The sequence below is a fragment of the Homo sapiens genome, chromosome 17 (assembly GCF_000001405.40).
Source record: "Homo sapiens chromosome 17, GRCh38.p14 Primary Assembly".
Classification (NCBI taxonomy): domain Eukaryota; kingdom Metazoa; phylum Chordata; class Mammalia; order Primates; family Hominidae; genus Homo; species Homo sapiens.
Window position 1 is genome coordinate 5,001,548 of NC_000017.11, and position 21,459 is coordinate 5,023,006.

General features: G+C 53.2%; 1 protein-coding gene and 1 long non-coding RNA gene across 3 annotated transcripts in view, besides 5 other annotated features; one reads left to right on the forward strand and one right to left on the reverse strand.

Annotated features, from left to right (window-relative positions):
- KIF1C (kinesin family member 1C) overlaps positions 1–21,459 on the forward strand; it is a 30,452-nt gene that overhangs the window by 3,598 nt on the left and 5,395 nt on the right. For both annotated transcript variants that reach the window (XM_005256424.3, NM_006612.6), the window contains 17 exons: positions 512–577; positions 917–1,095; positions 1,184–1,295; positions 2,065–2,142; positions 2,304–2,369; positions 2,451–2,526; positions 3,020–3,098; positions 3,308–3,453; positions 5,368–5,537; positions 5,716–5,795; positions 5,920–5,995; positions 12,106–12,185; positions 13,196–13,290; positions 18,449–18,532; positions 18,945–19,131; positions 19,259–19,331; positions 20,545–21,162. In XM_005256424.3, the coding sequence (XP_005256481.1) occupies positions 512–577; positions 917–1,095; positions 1,184–1,295; positions 2,065–2,142; positions 2,304–2,369; positions 2,451–2,526; positions 3,020–3,098; positions 3,308–3,453; positions 5,368–5,537; positions 5,716–5,795; positions 5,920–5,995; positions 12,106–12,185; positions 13,196–13,290; positions 18,449–18,532; positions 18,945–19,131; positions 19,259–19,331; positions 20,545–21,162 (2,265 nt within the window). The remainder of the gene's footprint in view (positions 1–511; positions 578–916; positions 1,096–1,183; positions 1,296–2,064; positions 2,143–2,303; positions 2,370–2,450; positions 2,527–3,019; positions 3,099–3,307; positions 3,454–5,367; positions 5,538–5,715; positions 5,796–5,919; positions 5,996–12,105; positions 12,186–13,195; positions 13,291–18,448; positions 18,533–18,944; positions 19,132–19,258; positions 19,332–20,544; positions 21,163–21,459) is intronic.
- Positions 1,874–3,073: an enhancer, noted in NCBI's record as "CDK7 strongly-dependent group 2 enhancer chr17:4906716-4907915 (GRCh37/hg19 assembly coordinates)". NCBI's record gives its function as "activates an origin of replication core promoter dependent on BRD2, BRD4, P300/CBP, MED14 and CDK7 cofactors, with strong dependence on CDK7, by STARR-seq in HCT116 cells {active_cell/tissue: HCT116}" and the evidence as "EXISTENCE:reporter gene assay evidence [ECO:0000049][PMID:35650434]".
- Positions 2,534–2,734: a silencer, noted in NCBI's record as "peak2701 fragment used in MPRA reporter construct". NCBI's record gives its function as "represses an SCP1 promoter by STARR-seq MPRAs in K562 erythroleukemia cells {active_cell/tissue: K562}" and the evidence as "EXISTENCE:reporter gene assay evidence [ECO:0000049][PMID:32103011]".
- Positions 10,690–10,749: a silencer, noted in NCBI's record as "silent region_8063". NCBI's record gives its function as "represses an Ori minimal core promoter by ATAC-STARR-seq in GM12878 lymphoblastoid cells {active_cell/tissue: GM12878}" and the evidence as "EXISTENCE:reporter gene assay evidence [ECO:0000049][PMID:35858748]".
- KIF1C-AS1 (KIF1C antisense RNA 1) lies at positions 17,667–18,546 on the reverse strand. Its single transcript, NR_120665.2, has 2 exons — positions 18,402–18,546; positions 17,667–18,104 (listed from the first exon to the last, which is right to left on the reverse strand). It is a non-coding gene; the product is annotated as a KIF1C antisense RNA 1 (long non-coding RNA).
- Positions 18,422–19,621: an enhancer, noted in NCBI's record as "CDK7 strongly-dependent group 2 enhancer chr17:4923264-4924463 (GRCh37/hg19 assembly coordinates)". NCBI's record gives its function as "activates an origin of replication core promoter dependent on BRD2, BRD4, P300/CBP, MED14 and CDK7 cofactors, with strong dependence on CDK7, by STARR-seq in HCT116 cells {active_cell/tissue: HCT116}" and the evidence as "EXISTENCE:reporter gene assay evidence [ECO:0000049][PMID:35650434]".
- Positions 20,888–21,452: an enhancer, noted in NCBI's record as "H3K4me1 hESC enhancer chr17:4925730-4926294 (GRCh37/hg19 assembly coordinates)". NCBI's record gives its function as "activates a minimal SCP1, AML or CMV promoter by ChIP-STARR-seq in naive H9 embryonic stem cells {active_cell/tissue: H9 hESC(naive)}" and the evidence as "EXISTENCE:reporter gene assay evidence [ECO:0000049][PMID:30033119]".

The window sequence follows — 21,459 nt, forward strand, 5'->3', positions numbered from 1 at the left end:
GACAACCCTCTGGGGTGGGAGGGTCTTCGCCCCTATCAGAGGCAACGAGCCTCAGTGAGTAGAGCAGGGCTTTGGCATCAGTGAGCCTTGGGTTCGAGCGCCAGTTTTACGACTTACTACTGTTTTACTTGGTTTCATAATAATTTGTGAGTATAGTTCTCCTGCAGGCTTGTGTACCACCAGCAGAGTGTTAACTGTAGAAACGCCAATTGGGATAACGGAGTTAACCATAATTGTCCCTGGCTGTCCAGCATAGCAACCTGGCACACGGGCTTGGGAGTCAGAACTCCTGGGGTTTGCACCCTGGCTGGCTGAACGGTAGCCTGTGATCTTGGGCAAGTGGGGACCTCTCTGAGGTTGTTTTCCCATCTGTGAAATGGGAATAACCCCTCCCTCAAGGCTGTAGCAAGGGTTAAATGGGGTCACTTGGGACTGGGCCTGGCCTGTGGCTGGACACTTTAGGTGTGCCCTGAACAGGAGCTTCTCTGTATTTCCCTGTGTCCCCCTCCAGCTCTGTGAGGACCTCTTCTCTCGCGTTAGTGAGAACCAGAGTGCTCAGCTATCCTACTCTGTGGAGGTAAGCCCGGGTCTTGGTGGCAGGGCTGAGAGGGGTCCAGACTGCTGAGGGCTGTCGCTGGAATCAGACAGCCTGGGATCTAATCCTGGCTCTGCTGGTTACTGACTGTGACTTTGGGGCAGTGATTCTGTCCTTCAGCTTCGTATGTTCATCTGGGAGACGCTGTTGATCGGACACACCTCCTGGCTTGTTGGGCAGGTCGCTGAGCTAGCATCTGCAGAATGCTTCGCACTGTGTATTAGCTGCAGTCACCTGGATCGTGTCCAGTGGAGTCAGATTAAGTTGCGTTGTCATTGTTTTTGCTAGTTTTGTTACTTCTCATTTGCTTCTCCCACTCAGGTGAGCTATATGGAGATCTACTGTGAGCGGGTACGAGACCTCTTGAACCCCAAGAGTCGGGGTTCTCTGCGGGTCCGGGAGCACCCCATCCTGGGCCCGTACGTGCAGGACCTGTCCAAATTGGCTGTGACCTCCTACGCAGACATTGCTGACCTCATGGACTGTGGAAATAAAGCACGGTGAGGCAGGCTGATGGAGCAGAGGGCAAGGGGGCCAGGGTTGGGAAGGTGAGAGGCAGGATCCAGTGACTGCTTTCTTTACCCTAAGGACTGTGGCTGCCACCAACATGAATGAGACCAGCAGCCGTTCCCATGCCGTCTTTACCATCGTCTTCACACAGCGCTGCCATGACCAGCTCACGGGGCTGGACTCGGAGAAGGTGGGATCGCCCCCCCCCCCACTCCCCCACCGGATGCAACCTCCCCTGGCAACAGGGACAGTGACATGGTAGAAGGGTCTTGGGCCCTCCCTGCCCATGCTGGGTTGAGTGCCTCCTCAGGACTACCATGACCGCGCCCCACCCCTACCCTGTTTTTCCGTCAGATCAGTCTGTCCCCCTCTACTGTTTGCTTGTCTTTTTTTTTTTTTTTTAAGACAGAGTCTTGCTCTGTTACCCAGGTTGGAGTACAGTGGTGCAGTGGTGCGATGTCAGCTCACTGTAACCTCCACCTCCCGGGTTCAAGTGATTCTCCTGCCTCAGCCTCCCGAGTACCTGGGATTACAGGCATGCGCCACCAGGCCCAGCTAATTTTTTTGTATTTTTAGTAGAGACGAGGTTTCGCCATGTTGGCCAGGCTGGTCTTGAACTCCTGACCTCAGGTGATCCAGCCGCCTCAGCCTCCCAAAGTGCTGGGATTACAGATGTGAGCCACCACACCCGGCTGTTCTTACGAGACCCAGGACAGGGCTTGGATCCCCTGTGTGTCCCTTGTCCATGCCTGCGGTGGGCCTGTAGCTATTTGTAATTGAGTGAGTAACCACCGTCTCACTGTTGTCACGTATTCTGTTTCCCCCGGCCTCCTCCCTCGCCTCCTCCTGGCTCTCTCTAGCCCTTGCCAGCTGCCCACATTCCTGCTGGGTGCTTCCCTGATTTCCCTGCCCCGTCCCCCACCCGCACCTTATCTCCTGCCTGTTTCCTCTGACCCCAGGTCAGTAAGATCAGTTTGGTGGACCTTGCTGGGAGTGAGCGAGCCGACTCCTCAGGGGCCCGGGGCATGCGCCTGAAGGTGAGGGGCCTTCAGAGGGTGGTTTGTTGTGGGGCAGTGTTGTGGGCTGTATGTGGAGGTCTCCAGTCGGAACCTGAGACTCTCACTGGGGAGGTAGGAAGCGGAAGTGGATCACATTGGGAGAAGAGGGTCTCATCCCCACATTCCTCATCCTTTTCCAGGAAGGAGCCAACATCAATAAGTCCCTGACTACACTAGGGAAAGTGATCTCGGCCCTTGCAGATATGGTGAGACCTGGGTGTTGGAAAGAAGGGGCTTGGGAAAGGGGAGTGACCCACCCTAACCTCCTTCCTCCTTTTATCCCCCAGCAATCAAAGAAGCGAAAGTCGGATTTTATCCCCTACAGGGACTCTGTGCTCACCTGGCTGCTCAAGGAAAATTTGGGTGAGGGCCTCTTCCTCTTTCTCTGCCGACCCTGACACATCCCACAAACTCTTTTGATACATCTGACAAATCCCCTTGCTATGCCGAGAATCCCAAATCCCGTTGTCTTACTTCTCCCCCTGACCCTTCAAAGGGAACATCCTTTGAAGATTTCCTGATGCTGAGAACAAGGCCATACCCTCCCGTCAAGCCAAGGGCCTCACTGACCTGGCTACTCATGACCCCTCCCTGATCCCTGATCTCACACCCACTGCTGCACTGCTGACTTCATCCCCCTTCCATGGTTCTGTGACTGTCCTGCAGATATATCTCCCTGACCTCATCCCCTCCCATAACCAGATGTCATGGTTAGCTCCACCCCGCTAGACTCCCCTACCTCAGACCATGACCCTGTAAGACCTCTGCCTGGGCAGTGGGCCCCAGCCCTGTGACCCGGTCTGACTTTGCTTAGCCCCTCCCTCAGCTGAAGCTTTTCCATGCACTCCATTCACAGGGGGGAACTCACGCACAGCCATGATTGCAGCCCTGAGCCCTGCTGACATCAATTACGAGGAGACTCTCAGCACCCTCAGGTGAGGCTTTTGGCTCTAGCAGGGATGGGGCAGCATAGGAAGAGTGCCAGGAGTTCAGAGGCGAGTTGCTCAGGACCCTGCTCGTGAGACGGGGGAGATGCCGGAGCCTTGCCACAATATCTTGAGACCTGGGAGAGGGGGAAGGAGAAACAGCAGACCAAGGGTCCCCTGCCCCCAGGCCTCACCGACCCTGCTCCTCTGTCACCCAGGTATGCTGACCGCACCAAGCAAATCCGCTGCAATGCCATCATCAACGAGGACCCTAATGCCCGGCTGATTAGAGAGCTGCAGGAGGAAGTAGCCCGGCTGCGGGAACTGCTGATGGCTCAGGGACTGTCAGCCTCTGCTCTGGAAGGTCGAGGTTCCAGGGAGGGGCAGCTCAGGGATGCCCCTTGGCCCACCCCATCCCTCCTCACTTGCCTTTGCCCAGTCCTGGAGCCAGGGAGGGACCACACACTATGAAACCTTTCATGTGCTCAGTGACGTGGACACAGATGTGGAGAGGGAACGTATGTCTTCAGATGTTACAGAGCTGGGAGGGACTAATTCTCTAGGAGAGGATGAGGATCCAGAAGGACCTGTCAGGCTCCTGGAAGTAATGAAATGACTGTTACAGGAAAAAATGGCAATATATGCTTACAGGTCAAACAGTAAATTGTTAAGAGGCTAGGCTACTGGGTGACTTTCTTGACAGAAGTTCTTGCAAAACGTCAGAGTTGAAGTGGACCATAGCCTAACAGATCTCAGTGGAGTGCTTTCTGGTATGTCATGCTCAGCCTCACTGATGGAAATAGTGTCCAAATCAGAGGATGTGTAATCCATGTTGACGGTCAGGAATGGACCCTGCATTCAGTCTTGAGATCATCCCATTGAGGATAGTTAGGGTGCTGAAGGGCACAGTGTGGGGAGTATGAGTGTTCTTGGAAAGAGAAGGATAAGGTAGCTAGTGATGTTTGCCTTCCAACATTTGAGGGATTTTCTTGCAGAAGAGAAAGCAGTAAGGACTTTTTATCCCAGAGGGCAGAACTAGAAACACTAGCACACATGACGTGGGACCAGTTTCAGCTCAGCACAGCTAAGAATTCTTTTTTTTTTTTTTTGAGATGGAGTCTTGCTCTGTCGCTAGGCTGGAGTGCAGTGGCTCCATCTTGGCTCACTGCAACCTCCGCCTTCTGGGTTCAAGAGATTCTCCTGCCTCAGCCTCCCGAATAACTGGGATTACAGGCGCCCACCACCACACCTGGCTAATTTTTGTATTTTTAGTAGAGACGGGGGTTTTAGCCTGGCACAGTGGCTCACGCCTGTAATCCCAGCATTTGGGGAGGCCAAGGCAGGCAGGTCACCTGAGTTCAGGAGTTCGAGACCAGCCTGACCAACATGGTGAAACCCCGTCTCTACTAAAAATACAAAAATTAGCTAGGTGTGGTGGCACGCACCTGTAATCCCAGCTACTCGGGAGACTGAGGCAGGAGAATCACTTGAACCCAGGAGGTGGAGGTTGCGGTGAGCCAAGATGGAGCCATTGCACTCCAGCCTAGCGACAGAGCAAGACTCCGTCTCAGAAAAAAAAGTTCGACACAGAGGTTTCTAGACTGGCCAGGCTGGTCTTGAACTCCTGACCTAAGGTGATGCTCCCACCTTGGCCTCCCAAAGTGCTGGGATTATAGGTATGAGCCACTGTGTCCGGCCCAGCTAAGAATTTTCTCTTTTTGAGACAGTCACGCTCTGTCACCCAGGCTGGAGTGCAATGGCGTGGTCTCGGCTCACTGCAACCTCTACCTCCTGGGTTCAAGTGATTCTCCTGCCTCAGCCTCCCAAGTAGCTAGGATTACAGGTGCCTGCCACCACACCAGGCTAATTTTTGTATTTTAGTAGAGACGGGGTTTCACCATGTTGGCCAGGCTGGTCTCGAACTCCTGACCTCAGGTGATCCACCCGCCTGGGCCTCCCAAAGTGCTGGGATTACAGGTGTGAGTCACCACACCTAGCCCCACCTAAGAATTTTCTGATGGTGCAAATCATCTAATAGTGGAAAGGACTGGCCGCCTCCTTCAGTAATGAGCTCTCCACCCCTGGAGTTCAAGTAGAGAGACTGGGTGCCCATTTACCATGGCTGCAGTAGGAGGGCTCCTTGCCTGGTAGGAGGCTGACCAGCAGTCTTCTGTAGTCCTTACAGACTGGTCCTCTGTGAAGCTCTTGGTCTCCTGGATGTCTCTCATCAGCTCCTTCTTTCCTTAGCCTCATTCTTTTTCCTCTTTCTCCCTCCCAGGCCTGAAGACGGAAGAAGGGAGTGTCAGAGGCGCCCTGCCAGCTGTGTCATCTCCCCCAGCTCCAGTTTCACCCTCATCACCCACCACACATAATGGGGAGCTGGAGCCGTCATTCTCCCCCAACACGGAGTCCCAGATTGGGCCTGAGGAAGCCATGGAGAGGCTGCAGGTGGGAAGCTGGAGCTGGCAAGGGCTGGGGGTCTGGGCATTCCTGGGAGTTTACTTCTCCAAAGTCAAGCTTGAGAAAGAAGGAATTCTAGGAGTAGCATGGCCCCAGGGTAGGTTGTCCCTACCCTGGGTCTGCTTGTCCCAGACCATCCTGAAACCTACCCACCTTACGCCCCCAGGAGACAGAGAAGATTATAGCTGAGCTGAACGAGACATGGGAGGAGAAGCTACGCAAGACAGAAGCCCTGAGGATGGAGAGGTGTGAGGGCCGACAGTTGGGGTCCTGGGTGGAGTTGGAGGCCATGGGGGAGGTCAGGCCCCACAGGGAAGGAGGTCACGGGCAGTGAAGGTAAGACTGACATTTGCCTCTCCTCTGCCCACAGAGAAGCATTGCTGGCTGAGATGGGGGTGGCCGTCCGGGAGGATGGGGGAACTGTGGGCGTCTTCTCTCCAAAGAAGGTGAGTGAGGAATCGAGCGAGGAGGCCTAGAGAGCTCTCTGGATGCCTAGAAAAGAGGCAGCAGGTGCAGGGTAGTGAGTGCTGTCCCTGATCGCTCCCTTTGAGGTCCCCGGCTTGTCCCTCCATCATTTCTGTCCCCTCCCCTGCCACCTCCTCTCCGTCTTGTTTAGTCATCCCTGCCTTCTCCCTTCAGCCATTCAACAGTCAGCCTCAGGAGAGGGAGAGGACCTGGGAAATCGGAGGTTGGTTGCAATAGAGCATGCTTTTGTATCATTTGAGTTTTGTATTCTGTGCATGCTCAAAAAGATAACTAAAGAAATCTATTTTTCAGAAGGATAACTTGGGAAGACAAGACTAAAGGGAATAGAGGAGGCATGAGCACTACATTGTAAGACAGTGGTTGCCAGTGCAGCGAGGGGTTGGTTATAGATGGAGGCACCCGTGTAGCTTGGAGCTATGCTGCAACTGGTTTCCTGGAGAAGGTGGTTTGGAAAGTGGAACCTGAAAGATGGACAGGACTTGGGAAGTATGGAGGAGTAGGGCCAACATGAGGTTGAAGAGCCTGGGGTACATGTTGGGGTGAGTGGGACACGCCAGTGCCTGACACGTGCCTGCCGCCAGGTTTTAGGTACCTAATAAATCTTTGCTGAAAGGAAGGAAGGAGCAGGGCGGGAGAGGTCAGGCTCAGGTGGAGGCAGGAATGATACTCCAAATATTAATAACCATCCGGCATAGGGACTGACCAGTCAGAAAGGACACTGGATATAGACAGCCAGCACCGCTGTACCGGTGCATACCAGTGAAGGGATGGTGCAGAGGCCAGTATACCAGTGAAGGGATGGTGCAGAGGCCAGTTTGAGCAGAGCATGAACTTCCAGTTCCACCAGGGAACCAGCCCAGCCCGTCTGGACCATGGTGTGAAGCAGCAGAGGATCAGGCCCTAAGTCAGATACACTGTGCTCTGAGCCAGACAGTGTCACTGGGGGCTGCCTGGAAGAGGTGATGGGTTACCAGAAGAAGGCTCCTCTCTGTTTTGTAAAGTCAGGTCCATCTGGGGGACTAAGCAAGCAGGGATCACTGAACCCCTGTTCTGAAAAGAGGAGAGGGGTTTTGCCTTGCCTGGCCCAAGCCACATTGAGGGAGTGAAAGAGCTGTGGGCGGTAGGCCAGGCTGCGTGTCTGGGGTCTTGTCTGGGGCTGGGTACCCTGGGGCTTTGGGGTCCTTCTGAGGGATCCAGACTCTTCTGGGACCCAGCCACACCTAGGTGGAAAGAGGGGCTACGGATGCGCTCAGCATGGCTTCCAGCCACCTTTGTATACCTGGAGCTGGGCCGCTTCCACCACGGTTGCAAGGATGGAGGAAAAGCAGAAAGGACTGGGGAGACTGGTGGGGTGGAGGTTTCTTCCTTGGAGAGCTTGCAGAGATGCCACCTGCCAAAGCCTGGGGACCAAAGGAGGGGGTTCTTGTTTTAATTGTTCTTATAAAGGTAATACACACCAGAGAGAACATTCTAATAGTTCTAAAAGGTGTGTACAGTGAAAAGTCTCCAATTTACAGCATTTTGTTATAGAAAAAAAAAAAAAGTAACTCTCCATCCTTCCCACCCTTAAGTTTCCCCTCAGAGGCAGCCTTCATTATGAGTTCTTTTTTTTTTTGAGACGGGGTCTTGTACTGTCACCCGGGCTGGAGTGCAACGGTGCAATCTTGGCTGACTGCAACCTCCGCCTCCTGGGTTCATACGATTCTTCTGCCTCAGCCTCCCAAGTAGCTGGGATTACAGGCGCACACCATCACACCCGGCTAATATTTTGTATTTTTAGTAGAGATGGGGTTCACTATGTTGGCCGGAGTGGTCTTGAACTTCTGACCTCGTGATCCACCCACTTCGGAGTCCCAAAGTGCTGGGGTTACAGGTGTGAGCCACCGTGCCAGGCCCATTATGGGTTCTTACTATATTCTCCTTGGGTCGGGCCTGGTGGCTCACACCTGTAATCCTAGCACTTTGGGAGGCCAAGGCGGGTGGATCACGAGGTCAGGAGATTGAGACCATCCTGGCTAACACAGTGAAACCCCGTCTCTACTACAAATACAAAAAATTAGCCACGTGTGCTGGCGGGCGCCTGTAGTCCCAGCTACTAGGGAGGCTGAGGCAGTAGAATGACATGAACCCGGGAGGCAGAGGTTGCAGTGAGCTGAGATCGCACCACTGCACTCCAGCCTGGGTGACAGACAAGACTCTGTCTCAAAAAAAAAAAAAAGAAAAAATGTTCTCCTAGAGATGCTGTCTAGGAGATGTTATAACACATGTACAGGCATATGTTATATAGAACTATACACATTTACTCACATTCACGGCCTCTCTAATAGTTGTAGTTGCATATCTATTTTATTTATTTATTTTGAGACAAGAGTCACACTCTGTCGCCCAGGCTGGAGTGCAGTGGCACAATCTCAGCTCAGTGCAAACTCTGCCTCCCAGGTTCAAGTGATTCTCATGCCTCAGCCTCCCAAGTAGCTGGGATTACAGGCACCCACCACCACGCCGGGCTAATTTTTGTATTTTAGTAGAGACAGGGTTTCGCCATGTTGGCCAGGCTGGTCTCAAACTCCTGGCCTCAAATGATGCACTGGCCTTGGCCTCCTGAAGTGCTGGTATTACAGGTGTGAGCTACTGTGCTTGGCCTGCATACCTTATTTTAAAGCTTCCTTTATTTTTTTCACGGTGTCAGGGTATTCTATTGTGTAGATGTAGGATAATGTATTTAACCAGCTTCCCACTGATGGACATTCAGATTGTTTCCCATTCCTTGATACTACAAAAAAAGGCTACAATGCATAGTCTTACAAATGGGTGTTATCTGTAGAGCAGATTCCTAGAAATGGAGATTTTGGGTCAAATGGTAGCCATGTAAAATTTTAATCTAGGCCGGGTGCGGTGGCTCACGCCTGTAATCCCAGCACTTTGGGAGGCCGAGGCGGGCGGATCACGAGGTCAGGAGATCGAGACCATCCTGGCTAACAAGGTGAAACCCCATCTCTACTAAAATAGAAAAAATTAGCCGGGCGTGGTGGCGGGCACCTGTAGTCCCAGCTACTTGGGAGGCTGAGGCAGGAGAATGGCGTGAACCCGGGAGGCGGAGCTTGCAGTGAGCCGAGATCATGCCACTGCACTCCAGCCCAGGTGACAGAGCGAGACTCCGTCTCAAAAAAAAAAATTTTTTTTTTAATCTATATTGCCAAAGTGCCCTCTGAAGATTATAACCATACCAATTTATTTTACTTTTTTGAGATGGAGTCTTGCTGTGTTGCCCAGGCTGGAGTGCAGTGGTGCAATCTCGGCCCACTGCAAGCTCCGCCTCCCGGGTTCACGCCATTCTCCTGCCTCAGCCTCCCAAGTAGCTGGGACTACAGGCGCCCACCACCACTCCTGGCTAATTTTTTGAACCATACCAATTTATACTCCCAAGGGTAACATACAAGAGAGCCCATTTCCCCTCGCCCTTTCCCACATTCTGGCTTAGTAAGACTTTTCTCTTTGCCTGTGTGATTGGTGAGAAGGTGTCTTAAGGTAGTTCACTTTTACATTTTTCTCAAGGTGGTGAGGATGAACTCTTCTCATGTTTAAAAGCCATGTGGTCTAAAGCCAGAAGAGAGAACTGTTAGACTCATGGGGAAATGGGTTTGGTGTGAGTAGCTCCAACAGGGAATAGTTGGGTCTTAGAGGAAAAAACTACAGTTTGTCTTGGAGGGAGCCTCCTCTTGCTAAGACCCCCACCACCAGGGCTAAGGATTGCTTAAATCAGTGGTGTTCAAACCTGGTTCTGAGCTGCCTTCTCAGGGGCTGAGGATAGGGACAGGACCAGACCCTGGGGCTCTCACCCCCAGCCTGGGCCTGAGCAGCTTCTTGCTTATCTGCTTGATGTCCTAGGCTTCTAGAGAAGGTTTCATTTTGAACAAAGAGTTATAGGGCTGAAGAAAAAGTTGAAAAGCACCGCCTCAAATCGTGTTCCCTCTCCCCAGGGATAGATTGCTTTCTGCTTCCGGAGCCCATCAGCGTTTGCCAGTCCCAGAGCAGGCCTGACACTGCAGTGTAGGGAGGGGCATGGGAGTCCCTCAGGAGAAGTGTCGCAGGAGTGATCCTTGGAGCACTTGGGTGAAGGGCGGATGCACAAGATACACAGACACCTCTGGGGGACACAGCTTTGGGCTCTGAGTGTTAAGTGGCTCCCAGAGAAATAGAGGTTCGACTCCGTGCTGTTTCCCTTCTGTACCCTGTGCTTTCTGCCTCCATGCTTCTGTCCAGGCTGCTTTCACCCGGAGCGCTCTTGTGCATGTCCACGCCCTCCTTGTCCTCAAAGGCTGGCTCCCATGTTACCCTTCCATTAAGTCCTCCTGATCCCCTTGAAATCCCATAGTTCTTCACTTTGTTCCTCTTTGCATGTGAGTCCCTCCCAGAACACAGTGGCACTCAACCCCCTGGGAACAAATGAATGAATAAACGAACTTAAACAAGGGCATGAGACAATCAGAAACTCCTCCATGAGGCATCCGTTTCCCACTTGTAATGGTGTTTCCACGCCAAGCCTCACCTCCCCTAGCTGACTCTCATTTCCTGACTGACTGGACAGCAGTGCCTGGGCTTGACTCATCTCTGTACCCCGCCTAGCGCTTCACCAGGGTGAGGTAGAAAGGCCACAGTCAGTCCTTCTGCAGCAGAGGCAGGGGTCTTGTGTTCTGATGGAAGGCTTAGGAAAACTTCCCGGAGGAAGTTGCATTTCAGACAGACTGGGAGGAACGTGAAGGAAGTGAATGATTTTGGCAGGTGGGGGCGGGGCGGGAGGCGGTCTGTTGTTGGGGACATTGGCAGTCAGGGATGCAGGAGGCCTACTTTGGAGGGAGTGCTCAGGGGTCCGCTGAGTGGAAGTACAGAGTCTGGGAGAGAGCCTGGGAGGGGGGCTTGGACAGATGGACTGGAGCCGGGACATGGAGGAGGCCCAGGGATGCCAGGGGAAAAAGTAGGCTCAAGTCCAGCGGGCCTGGGGTTCCAGCTGGAGAGGTCTCAGCAGAGAGGCAAAGACATGGCCATAGCGAGGTGTGGGCAGGAAGCTGGGAGACCTAAGGGGTGGCAGGAAGGCAGGTGGGCCTGGTGCAGGGTGGTGCCGAGGGATGGAGAGGTGTGTGGCACGGCAGCAGCTGGCAGGAAGGGAGACTTCCCCAGGCGTGGCAGCAGTGGCATGAATGGGGGTACAGAGGCAGCGTCGCCTGTACGCCATCCAGAGTACTGCCCAGCAAGGGCAGGGCTGTTATAATGGAAACAAGTCAGGAGAAGGTGCTGTGGGAGAAGGGAATGGGCCGGGTTTTCAGCACAGAGCAGCGTAACAATCACTCAGGTGTTCAGGATGGACTTGGCTGGGGGCCTTAGGCAGGGACAGCCCCAGGCGGGTGCTGCAGGGACCCAGGCTTGAGGTGAAGCAGCCCAGGGAGGGGTAGTCACTGGGGAAGAGTCAATGAGTCTGCTTCGAGAAACATGTTTGTTCCATTTGCTTTTAAGTTGAAGTGACACTTTTTATTTTTAAATTGTGAAAGTAATTCATGTGTGTAGGAAATTCAAGGTTGATGAAAGGTGGGGAGTACCAGTCTGCTCACTCAGTCTCCCCCAACTCTCCAGAAGCTGCAAGGTACATTTTGAGGAAAGAAATGATGGGACCTGAGACAGAGGAATATAGGGAAGAAGAGAATGCAGGGGGTCCGGGGCTTCTGGTGAGGGAGCCTGGTGGGTCGAGGTGCTTCTGAAGAGACAGGCCTTGGGAAGGGTTGCTGACCTGGATGCAGCTGGATGGGTGGGGCAATTTTTGTCGGCCCCTTGTGTGAGGAGAGGGTGGATCAGGCTGTCCTGAAGGCGGTTGGTGTGAGAGGTGGGAACCAAAGAACGTCATCGGGGTGGAGGGATGACGATGGGAGGAGTACAGAGGGCAGGAGAGCTCTCCAGAGTGAGGGGGCGCAGCTGGCAGTGCCAGGACTGGAGGGGTGTCTCCTCCCACCGCTCCCTTTCTTCCTTTCTATAGCACCCCTGGCTGGCTCCCCCTGACCACCTTTCTCTCCCCGCTTAGACTCCCCACCTGGTGAACCTGAACGAAGACCCTCTGATGTCTGAGTGTCTGCTCTACCACATCAAAGATGGCGTCACCAGGTAGCGTGTACCCAGCGGCCTGGGGGGCAGCCTCTGCTTTTGGGGTGTGGCTGCCAAGGGTTGTCCACATTGGTGTCTCCCTTCCCTGGTGGTCCCTGGAGATACCTCAGATCTCTAAACAGCTGCCTCCACAGCCCTGCACGCTCTCCCAGCTTCAAGAGAAGCGTGCCTGCTCAGTGGCTGTCTTGCCTCCACCTGCCAGTTTGGTTAGGGCGAGACAACCTTGTTTACTGGGGCAGGAGAGTTGGGAAACATAGACCCCCTCATTCTTAGACCCTGATGCCATTGCCTTGGCCTCCCTTGGTGGGGCCTTCCCTGGGGGCGGGAGAAGGGAAACACGGCCTGGTCTGTGCGGTTGAGGGCTGGGCAGCTAAGGGCATGTGGCTCCTTGGGCTGGTATTATGAAGTCATGGGGGCTCGGTGCCTCCCCTAAAGGGGTGAGGGTGCCCTTCCCCTCCCACCACAGGCATTCGTGGCTGTCCTTGGTAGTCATCTTGGGTAGGGAGTGAGCTCTCAGGATCATCAACCTAAGGATGGGTGGAGGCCTGTGGCTGAGGGTGCCCGTTTCTCCCAGGTTTGCTTGTACCCAGGTAGCATGTACCCAGTGGCCCGGGGGGCAGCCTCTGCTTTTGGGGTATGGCTGCTGAGGGTTAGCCACATTGGTGCCTCCCTTCCCTGGTGGTCCCTGGAGATAACTCAGATCTCTAAACAGCTGCCTCCACAGCCCTGCATGCTCTCCCAGCTTCAAGAGAAGTTGGCGAGCCTGCTGTATAACATGGTGACTAAGAGCATGGCTTCAGAGTCAGGCAGACCTGGGCTCAGATCCCAGCATCACTTCACTGCCCACTGAATGAACCCGGGCAAGCCATTTCACCTCCCTGAGCCTCTGCTTCCTCATCTGTGAAATGGGAATAATTGGCTTGGTTCATTGAGTTGGATAAACTGGTGTTCAGGAGGGGCTTGGTTAAAGTCTGGCACATGCTCACAAACGTTGGCCATTGCTTCCCCAGGGTCGGCCAAGTAGATATGGACATCAAGCTGACCGGACAGTTCATTCGGGAGCAACACTGTCTGTTCCGGAGCATCCCCCAGCCAGATGGAGAAGGTAATGGCTGAGGGGGTGAGAGAGGCCAGACAGGGAGAGAGGCCCCATGTTCCACCCCACACACTGAACTCAGAGGTCTGGGTTGGGCACCAGGGAGTGCAGCCATATAAAGAGGGGATGTGGCCTTGTCCTCAGAGGGGCTTGGGGCTCATGGGTATGAATGGAGGAATACCACAGGCCCAGCCCTCTGCACCCACCCTGAGAAGACAGACTACTGTGTGGTCAGGCACTGGCGAGGGTTCTAAGGTAGAAATGGGACACTAGTGAGCCAGAGTGTGGGATTTTGCTGAAGAGAAGATCCTGCCCTTCTTGATCTTGTTCACCACAACTAGCACTCTGATCCTTTTTAAACAAAAACCTGTATTTGAATATCGGAACTTGTCCCTGTGGAAAACCTGCCTCTATCCAGCTATGACTGCCGAGATTTCTTTTTCTTTTTCTTTTTCTTTTTCTTTTTTTTTTGAGACGGAGTGTTCGCTCTTGTCGCCCAGGCTGGAGTGCAATGGCGCGATCTGGGCTCACTGCAGCCTCAACCTCCCGGGTTCAAGCAATTCTCCTGCCTCAGCCTCCCGAGTAGCCGGGATTACAAGCATGTGCCACCATGCCTGGCTAATTTTGTGTTTTTAGTAGAGACGGGGTTTCTCCCATGTTGGTCAGGCTGGTCTCGAACTCCTGACCTCAGGTGATCCGCCTGCCTCGGCCTTCCGAAGTGCTGGGATTACAGGCGTGAGCCACTGCCCCCAGCTTTTTTTTTTTTTTTTTTTTTTTTTTATCATTTGAGACGGAGTCTCACTGTTTCCCCCAGGCTGGAGTGCAGTGGCATGATCTTGGCTCACTGCAGCCCCCACCTCCCAGGTTCAAGTGATTCTCTTGCCTCAACCCCGAGTAGCTGGGATTACAGGCACGCGCCACCACACCAGGCTAATTTTTGTATTTTTAGTAGAGACGGGGTTTCACCATGTTGGTCAGACTGGTCTTGAACTCCTGATCTCATGTGATCCGCCCACCTTGGCCTCCCAAAGCACTGGGATTACAGGCGTGAGCCACTGCACCTGCTGAGGTGTATTTTTGAGGCCACCAGTTTGTTTTAGTTCTAACACTTAAAAAAAAATAGAATGATTTGGGTTCACATAAGCTCAAGCAAAGTCTCTGTGAAAATGAGTTGGGCAGGGAGGAAGGACGTGGTACACATGTGCTGTCTGTCAGCTTGGACCTGGTGTGTGTGTTGTGCCTCAGAGACCTAGGAGTGCTTGGCCTAACACCTTCCAGGGGACAAGGGACCTGGGGTGTGTATGGTCAGCACTTTTTTTTTTTTTTTGAGATGGAGTCTCGCTGTGTCGTCCAGGCTGGAGTGCAGTGGTGCGATCTCGACTCACTGCAACCTCTGCCTCCCGGGTTCAAGTAATTCTCCTGCCTCAGCCTCCCGAGTAGCTGGGACTACAGGTGTGCGCCACCACACCCGGCTAATTTTGTATTTTTAGTAGAAACAGGGTTTCTCCAACTCCCAACCTCAGGTGATCCTCCTGCCTTGACCTCCCAAGGTGCTGGGATTACAGGCTTGAGCCACCACACCCAGCCCTAATTTTTGTATTTTTAGTAGAGACAGGGTTTCACCATGTTGGTCAGGCTAGTCTTGAACTCCTGACCTTGTGATCCACCTGCCTCGGCCTCCCAAAGTGCCAGGATTACAGGCGTGAGCCACCGCACCCGGCCAGCACATTTTAAAAAATAACAAAAGACGCTATCATGTGCGTCTTACAGTGAGGTTTAAGACATACCTCTTGGGGCTGGTGGGGTGGCTCATGCCTGTAATCTTAGCACTTTGGGAGGCCGAGGTGGGTGGATCACTTGAGGTCAGGAGTTTGAAACCAGCCTGGCCAACATGGTGGAACCCCGTCTCTACTAAAAGTACAAAAAAATTAGCTGGGCATGGTGGCGAACGCTTGTAATCCCAGCTACTTAGGAGGCTGAGACAGGAGAATTGCTTGAACCTGGGAAGTGGAGGTTTCAGTGAGCTGAGATTGCGCCACTGCACTCCAGCCTGGGTGACAGAGTGAGACTGTTTCAAAAAAAAAAAAAAAAAGACATGCCTCTTCGGTTTCCATATGGTTCAGGGTCAGCCAATCAAGGCAGTTGTTCTGGTCTGGTTCAAGTCCTCAGTGACAGCAAATGCTTCCGGCATTTTGGGTTGAAAGCTGTTGAATCAGTTCAGCCCAGTGAGTTATTGCCAAGTTCCTGTTCTGCGGCAACCTCAAGCCATTTGCTGGGGGAGATATGAAAGCCATACAGGCCACCAAAAATACACCTCAGCAGAGCCAGCCCATGGGCAAGGAGCTACAGTGCGGAGAGATGACACCCGTGTGCAAGACTGACATAGGTCACAGTAAAGGCAGCCAATGATTCTGTGTTGCCAAGGGTGGGGATTGTGATGGTTTAGTCCCTGTGGGCCTTGGTTCTTTTTTTTTTTTTTTTTTTTTTTTGAGACGGAGTCTCGCTCTGTCGCCCAGGCTCGAGTGCAGTGGCGCGATCTCGGCTCACTGCAAGCTCTGCCTCCCGGGTTCACGCCATTCTCCTGCCTCAGTCTCCTGAGTAGCTGGGACTACAGGCGCCCCCCCACCACCACACCCGGCTCATTTTTTTGTATTTTTAGTAGAGACGGGGTTTCGCCGTGTTAGCCAGGATGGTCTCAATCTCCTGACCTCATGATCCACCCGCCTCGGCCTCCCAAAGTGCTGGGATTATAGGCGTGAGCCACGCGCCCAGCCTGGGCCTCAGTTCTTAACAGCAGATTTAAGACCTGGCCAGAAACAGGCAGAGAGGACGGGGGCAGCACAGACAGGTATGGATGTAGAAGAATGGTTTTTACTGACCATCTACTCTGTGCGTCCGCATTTTCTCACACAGCTCACAGGTGAGAGAACTGAGGCTCTCGGGGGTTAGGTGATTTGCAAAAGATGACACAAAATGGCAGAACTGGATTCAGACACAGGATGGCAGGCACCAGGGGCTGTGCTGTGAGCTCTGCCCTAGACTGTCAGATTATCATGGGTTCAGGGTAAGGCTGCCTGGGCCAAGCTGGAGCAGTCTTCTCACCCAGCCCCACTTTCCCTGCATAACACGTATTCCCTCCTTTTTTATTTTCATTTTCATTTTTATTTTTTGAGACAGGGTCTTGCCCTGTCACCCAGGCTAGAGTGCAGTGGCATGATCATGGTTCACTGTAGCCTCAACCTCCCGGGTTAAAGTGATCCCCCCACCTCAGCCTCCTGAGTAGCTGGGACTACAGACCTGTGCCACCACACCTGGCTAATTTTTGTACTTTTCGTACAGACAGGGTTTTACTGTGTTGCCCAGGCTGGTCTCAAAGTCCTGAGCTCAAGCAGTCCACCTGCCTCGGCCTCCCAAAGTGCTGGGATTACAGGCGTGAGCCACTGTGCCCAACCCTATTCCCTTTAGAGAGGACTTTAGATTATCTGCTTTTAAAAATATTAATAGAATTAAATGCCTTTTTCCCCCCCTCTTCTTTTAGTTTTAATAAATGGCATCTGGCCAGGCACAGTGGCTCATGCCTGTGATTCCAGCACTTTGGGAGGCCAAGGCGGGCGGATCACCTGAGGTCAGGCGGGTGGATCACCTGAGGTCAGGAGTTGGAGACCAGCCTGACCAACATGGAGAAACCCCGTCTCTACTAAAAATACAAAATTAGCCAGGTGTGGTGGTGCATGCCTGTAATCCCAGCTACTCAGGAGGCTGAGGCAGGAGAATTGCTTGAACCCAGGAGGAGAGGTTGCAGTGAGCTGAGATCGCACCATTGCACTCCAGCCTCCAACAAGAGTTTCACTCCAACAAGAGTGAAACTCCATCTCAAAAAAAAAAAAGAAAAAAGAAAAGCCATCCATCACGATTAAATGACTTTAGATTATCTTGTTTATTGTCTGTCTTACCAGACAGAAGTAAGCTCTATGAGAGCAGGGATTTTTTGTTTTATATCACCAATGTATTTCTGAGACCTAGTAAAATAGTGTTTGGAAGATAGTAGGAGTGTGGCATATGTGGGTTTGAATCAATAAATGAATTTTGTGGCATGATGGGAAATGAAGAAAAGGTGGGGATAGATGGCACCCCCTCTAGGCACCCGCATCCCGTCCTGCTGTCCACCTCTGCTGCTGCTGTTTCCCCGACCCACCGTGATGCCCTTGGCTGCCCCTCTCCCCATCGGCTTCTGAGTCTCCCTCTGCTCCTAAGCTGAGTCCTCTGCTCTCCTTGTTCTCCCAGCAGCATCCGTTGTCCCCATCCCTGCCTGATATTATAGTTCATCCCAGTTTCTGTGTTTCTCTATTACTTCCAGTATAAGTATTATAATAATAAAACACATGTTTGCATGTTATTTTATGGTTTACTTTTTTGGGCCTTCTAACCACTCTTCATTCAGACTTCATTATCCCATCTTATAGAATATCACAGAAGTTAAATTGACTTGTTCAGCATCCCTGGCTAAGGAGCTGCAGAGCCTGGGCCTTTGGGATACCAGGGTTCCTCTGCGGCAATGGCCACTGCTCCTCGAGGACAGGGAGCTGCCTCGTGCATCTTCGCGTCCCCAGAAACTGGCAGGCTCAGTGATTTGTACTGAGGAGCAGCTAGATGGATGTTTGGGTTGGGTTGACTTTCTCTTGTCACATGTCAGCTGTGGCTTGAGAAGATGAGTCAGGTGGCAGTTTGCAAGATGCATGAGGCAGAGGGGTGGGCTACAAGCCTGCTGGAGGAGCCCAGGCCCCACCAGGGATAATGTCAGTGGGAAAGGTAGGAATGGACATCTGGAAGGCAGAAATGACAGGGCCTCTGAGCAGTTAAACATGAGGAATGAATCCTTTTGACAATTACTGGTTTTCTAAGCTGCTGCTGGGGAGGATAGAGGTGGGTGAGTCAGGAGCCACTGCAGAGGCTTCTGGGAATTGTAGTTGGGGCTCTAACCCTCCTTCTGCTCTTCCTTTCCCGTGCTGCCTGCCACCAGAGGGGCCATGGCACCCCCTACAGGTACTGGGGGTGGGACTGGTGGTGCATGTGTGGTTTTTTGGGGTAAGGCAAGGTGGGAATCTGTGACCATGACCCACCTTCCTCCAGGGTCTAATCTTTCCCCTTCCTCTGCCCCTCCATTCAGTGGTGGTCACTCTGGAGCCTTGTGAAGGAGCTGAGACATATGTGAATGGGAAGCTTGTGACGGAGCCGCTGGTGCTGAAGTCAGGTAGAAGATGTGTCGCAGATTGAGGGTTCTGGGGCGTGGCTGTGTGTAGGAAGTCTCAAGGGAGGTCCTTCTGGGTGCATCCTAGAGGAGGACCCTGAAATACATCAGAAATAGCACGGGGATATAAAGAAGGAACTGGGAAGTGAAGGTCAAGGAGTCAGGTCTTGGTTTCTCTTTCCGCCCCAGGGAACAGGAAGAGGATGCCAAGCTCTTGCAATTCCCTTTGGTTGACAAGAATGGGGTTGGTCCCTGGGTGTCAGCCAGGGGAGCATAGGCTCCAACTGCCTTCAGACTTGGGGTGATGAAGGGGAGGGTGTCACAGCCCCTGTGCCAGATTCTCTATGCCTTGGGTGTAGGGATGGATTTGGTGCTGATGGGAAGCGAGTTTACTTTTCCCTCCTCCCATCTCTAGGGAATAGGATTGTGATGGGCAAGAACCACGTTTTCCGCTTCAACCACCCGGAGCAGGCAAGGCTGGAACGGGAACGAGGGGTCCCCCCACCCCCAGGACCGCCCTCTGAGCCAGTCGACTGGAACTTTGCCCAGAAGGAACTGCTGGAGCAGCAAGGCATCGACATAAAGCTGGAAATGGAGAAGAGGTGCGAGGGGGTTACCCACGTGCCCCATGGCCGTCTAGGCCGTCCCTCCCGGGCCTCTGGGCCCGTGTCCTCCTCTTGTCAGATACTCACCAAGGTTGCTCTTCCTTCCCTCCCTGTCCAATCCCAGGCTGCAGGATCTGGAGAATCAGTACCGGAAAGAAAAGGAAGAAGCCGATCTTCTGCTGGAGCAGCAGCGACTGGTGAGGGGCAGCAGGGGCTGGGGATGGGCTGATGGGCAGATGAGCCGCAAGCCTGAGTCCGAGTGCAGTGCTCACCGCTGAGCCAGAGTGGGAAATGGGCATGGGGGTAAGGGGAAGGGTCCAAGAGGAAAAAGCCAGGAGAGAGATGTGACTACAGGAAGAATCCATTGTGAGGAAGGAAGGAAGATTCCTCCAGTTGACCAGGCCTTCCCATACTCCAGTTTCTCGTGCCAAGTTTATGATTTTCACCATATCCAAGTACCACCTGTGTTGGTATTAAGATTGTTGTGGTTTTTTTTTTTTTTTTTTTTTTTGGAGATGGAGTCTCCTGTCACCCAGGCTGGAACGCAGTGGGATGATCTCGACTTACTGTAGCCTCCGCCTCCTGGGTTCAAGCGATTCTCATGCCTCAGCCTCCCCAGTAGCTGGGATTACAGGAGCCCGCCACCATGCCTGGCTAATAATTATTGTATTTTTAGTAGAGACAGGGTTTCACCATGTTGGCCAGGCTGGTCTCGAACTCCTGACCTCAGGTGATCCGCCTGCCTCAGCCTCCCAAAATGCTGGGATTACAGGCATGAGCCACCGCACCCGGCCATGGACTTTCTATTTTGTTTTTGAGGCAGGATCTTGCTCTGTCACCCTGGCTGGAGTGCAGTGGCCTGATCATAGCTCACTGCAGCCTCGAACTCCTTGGGTTCAAGCAGTCCTTCCACCTCAACCTCCTGAGTAGCTGGGATCACAGGTGTGCACTTCCATGCCTGGCTACATTTTTTATTTTTTGTAGAGGTGGGGGTCTCACTACATTACCCAGGCTGGTCTTCAGCTCCTGGGCTCAAGTGATCCTCCTGCCTTGGCCTTCCAACATGCTGGGATTGCAGGCACGAGCCACCACCCCTCAATGGTCTTTTAAGTCTTGCACAAAGTTCCACACTCGATTAGCTACAACTAATACTTATGGTAACTTTCTCGGTGCCGGCCATGGTTCTAAGTACTCCACGTGGATCTGGGAGGTAGATCCCGTCACTATCTCTGTTGTCTAGAAGAGCAGCGTTAAGCAGTCTGCCCAAGGGTGCGCTGTTGGGGTGGAGCAGGACTTGAACCCAGGCTCCCTGATGGGCGTGTTTCCAGTGTACTTAGGACACACTGGGCCAAGACACATGGGCTCTGGATGTCCTTAGCCCTCTCTTCCTCTTTCTTTCTCTGGCCCCAGTATGCAGACTCGGACAGCGGGGATGACTCTGACAAGCGCTCTTGTGAAGAGAGCTGGAGGCTCATCTCCTCCTTGCGGGAGCAGCTGCCGCCCACCACGGTCCAGACCATTGTCAAACGCTGTGGTCTGCCCAGCAGTGGCAAGCGCAGGGCCCCTCGCAGGGTTTATCAGATCCCCCAGCGACGCAGGCTGCAGGGCAAAGACCCCCGCTGGGCCACCATGGCTGACCTGAAGATGCAGGCGGTGAAGGAGATCTGCTACGAGGTGGCCCTGGCTGACTTCCGCCACGGGCGGGCTGAGATTGAGGCCCTGGCCGCCCTCAAGATGCGGGAGCTGTGTCGCACCTATGGCAAGCCAGACGGCCCCGGAGACGCCTGGAGGGCTGTGGCCCGGGATGTCTGGGACACTGTAGGCGAGGAGGAAGGAGGTGGAGCTGGCAGTGGTGGTGGCAGTGAGGAGGGAGCCCGAGGGGCGGAGGTGGAGGACCTCCGGGCCCACATCGACAAGCTGACGGGGATTCTGCAGGAGGTGAAGCTGCAGAACAGCAGCAAGGACCGGGAGCTGCAGGCCCTGCGGGACCGCATGCTCCGCATGGAGAGGGTCATCCCCCTGGCCCAGGTAGGACTGGCCTTCTGCCTCCCTTCTCTCCTCCCTCGGCTCTTCACTTTAGGAGTCTGAACCTTCCATCTCAGAGCCTAACCTTCCCCAAGTCTGGAAAAAATTGCATTGAAGTATAGTACGTTTTTTTCAATATTGTTTACGAACCACATGCCTCGCTGTCACCAGGCTGCTAATTAAAATAGATTCCCGGGTTCCACCCCAGACCTACTGAATCCACATCTTTGGGGACAAATCTGCATTTATAATAAGCTCTGGGTGTTTCTGAAATACAGTGAAGTCTAAGACCCACTGATA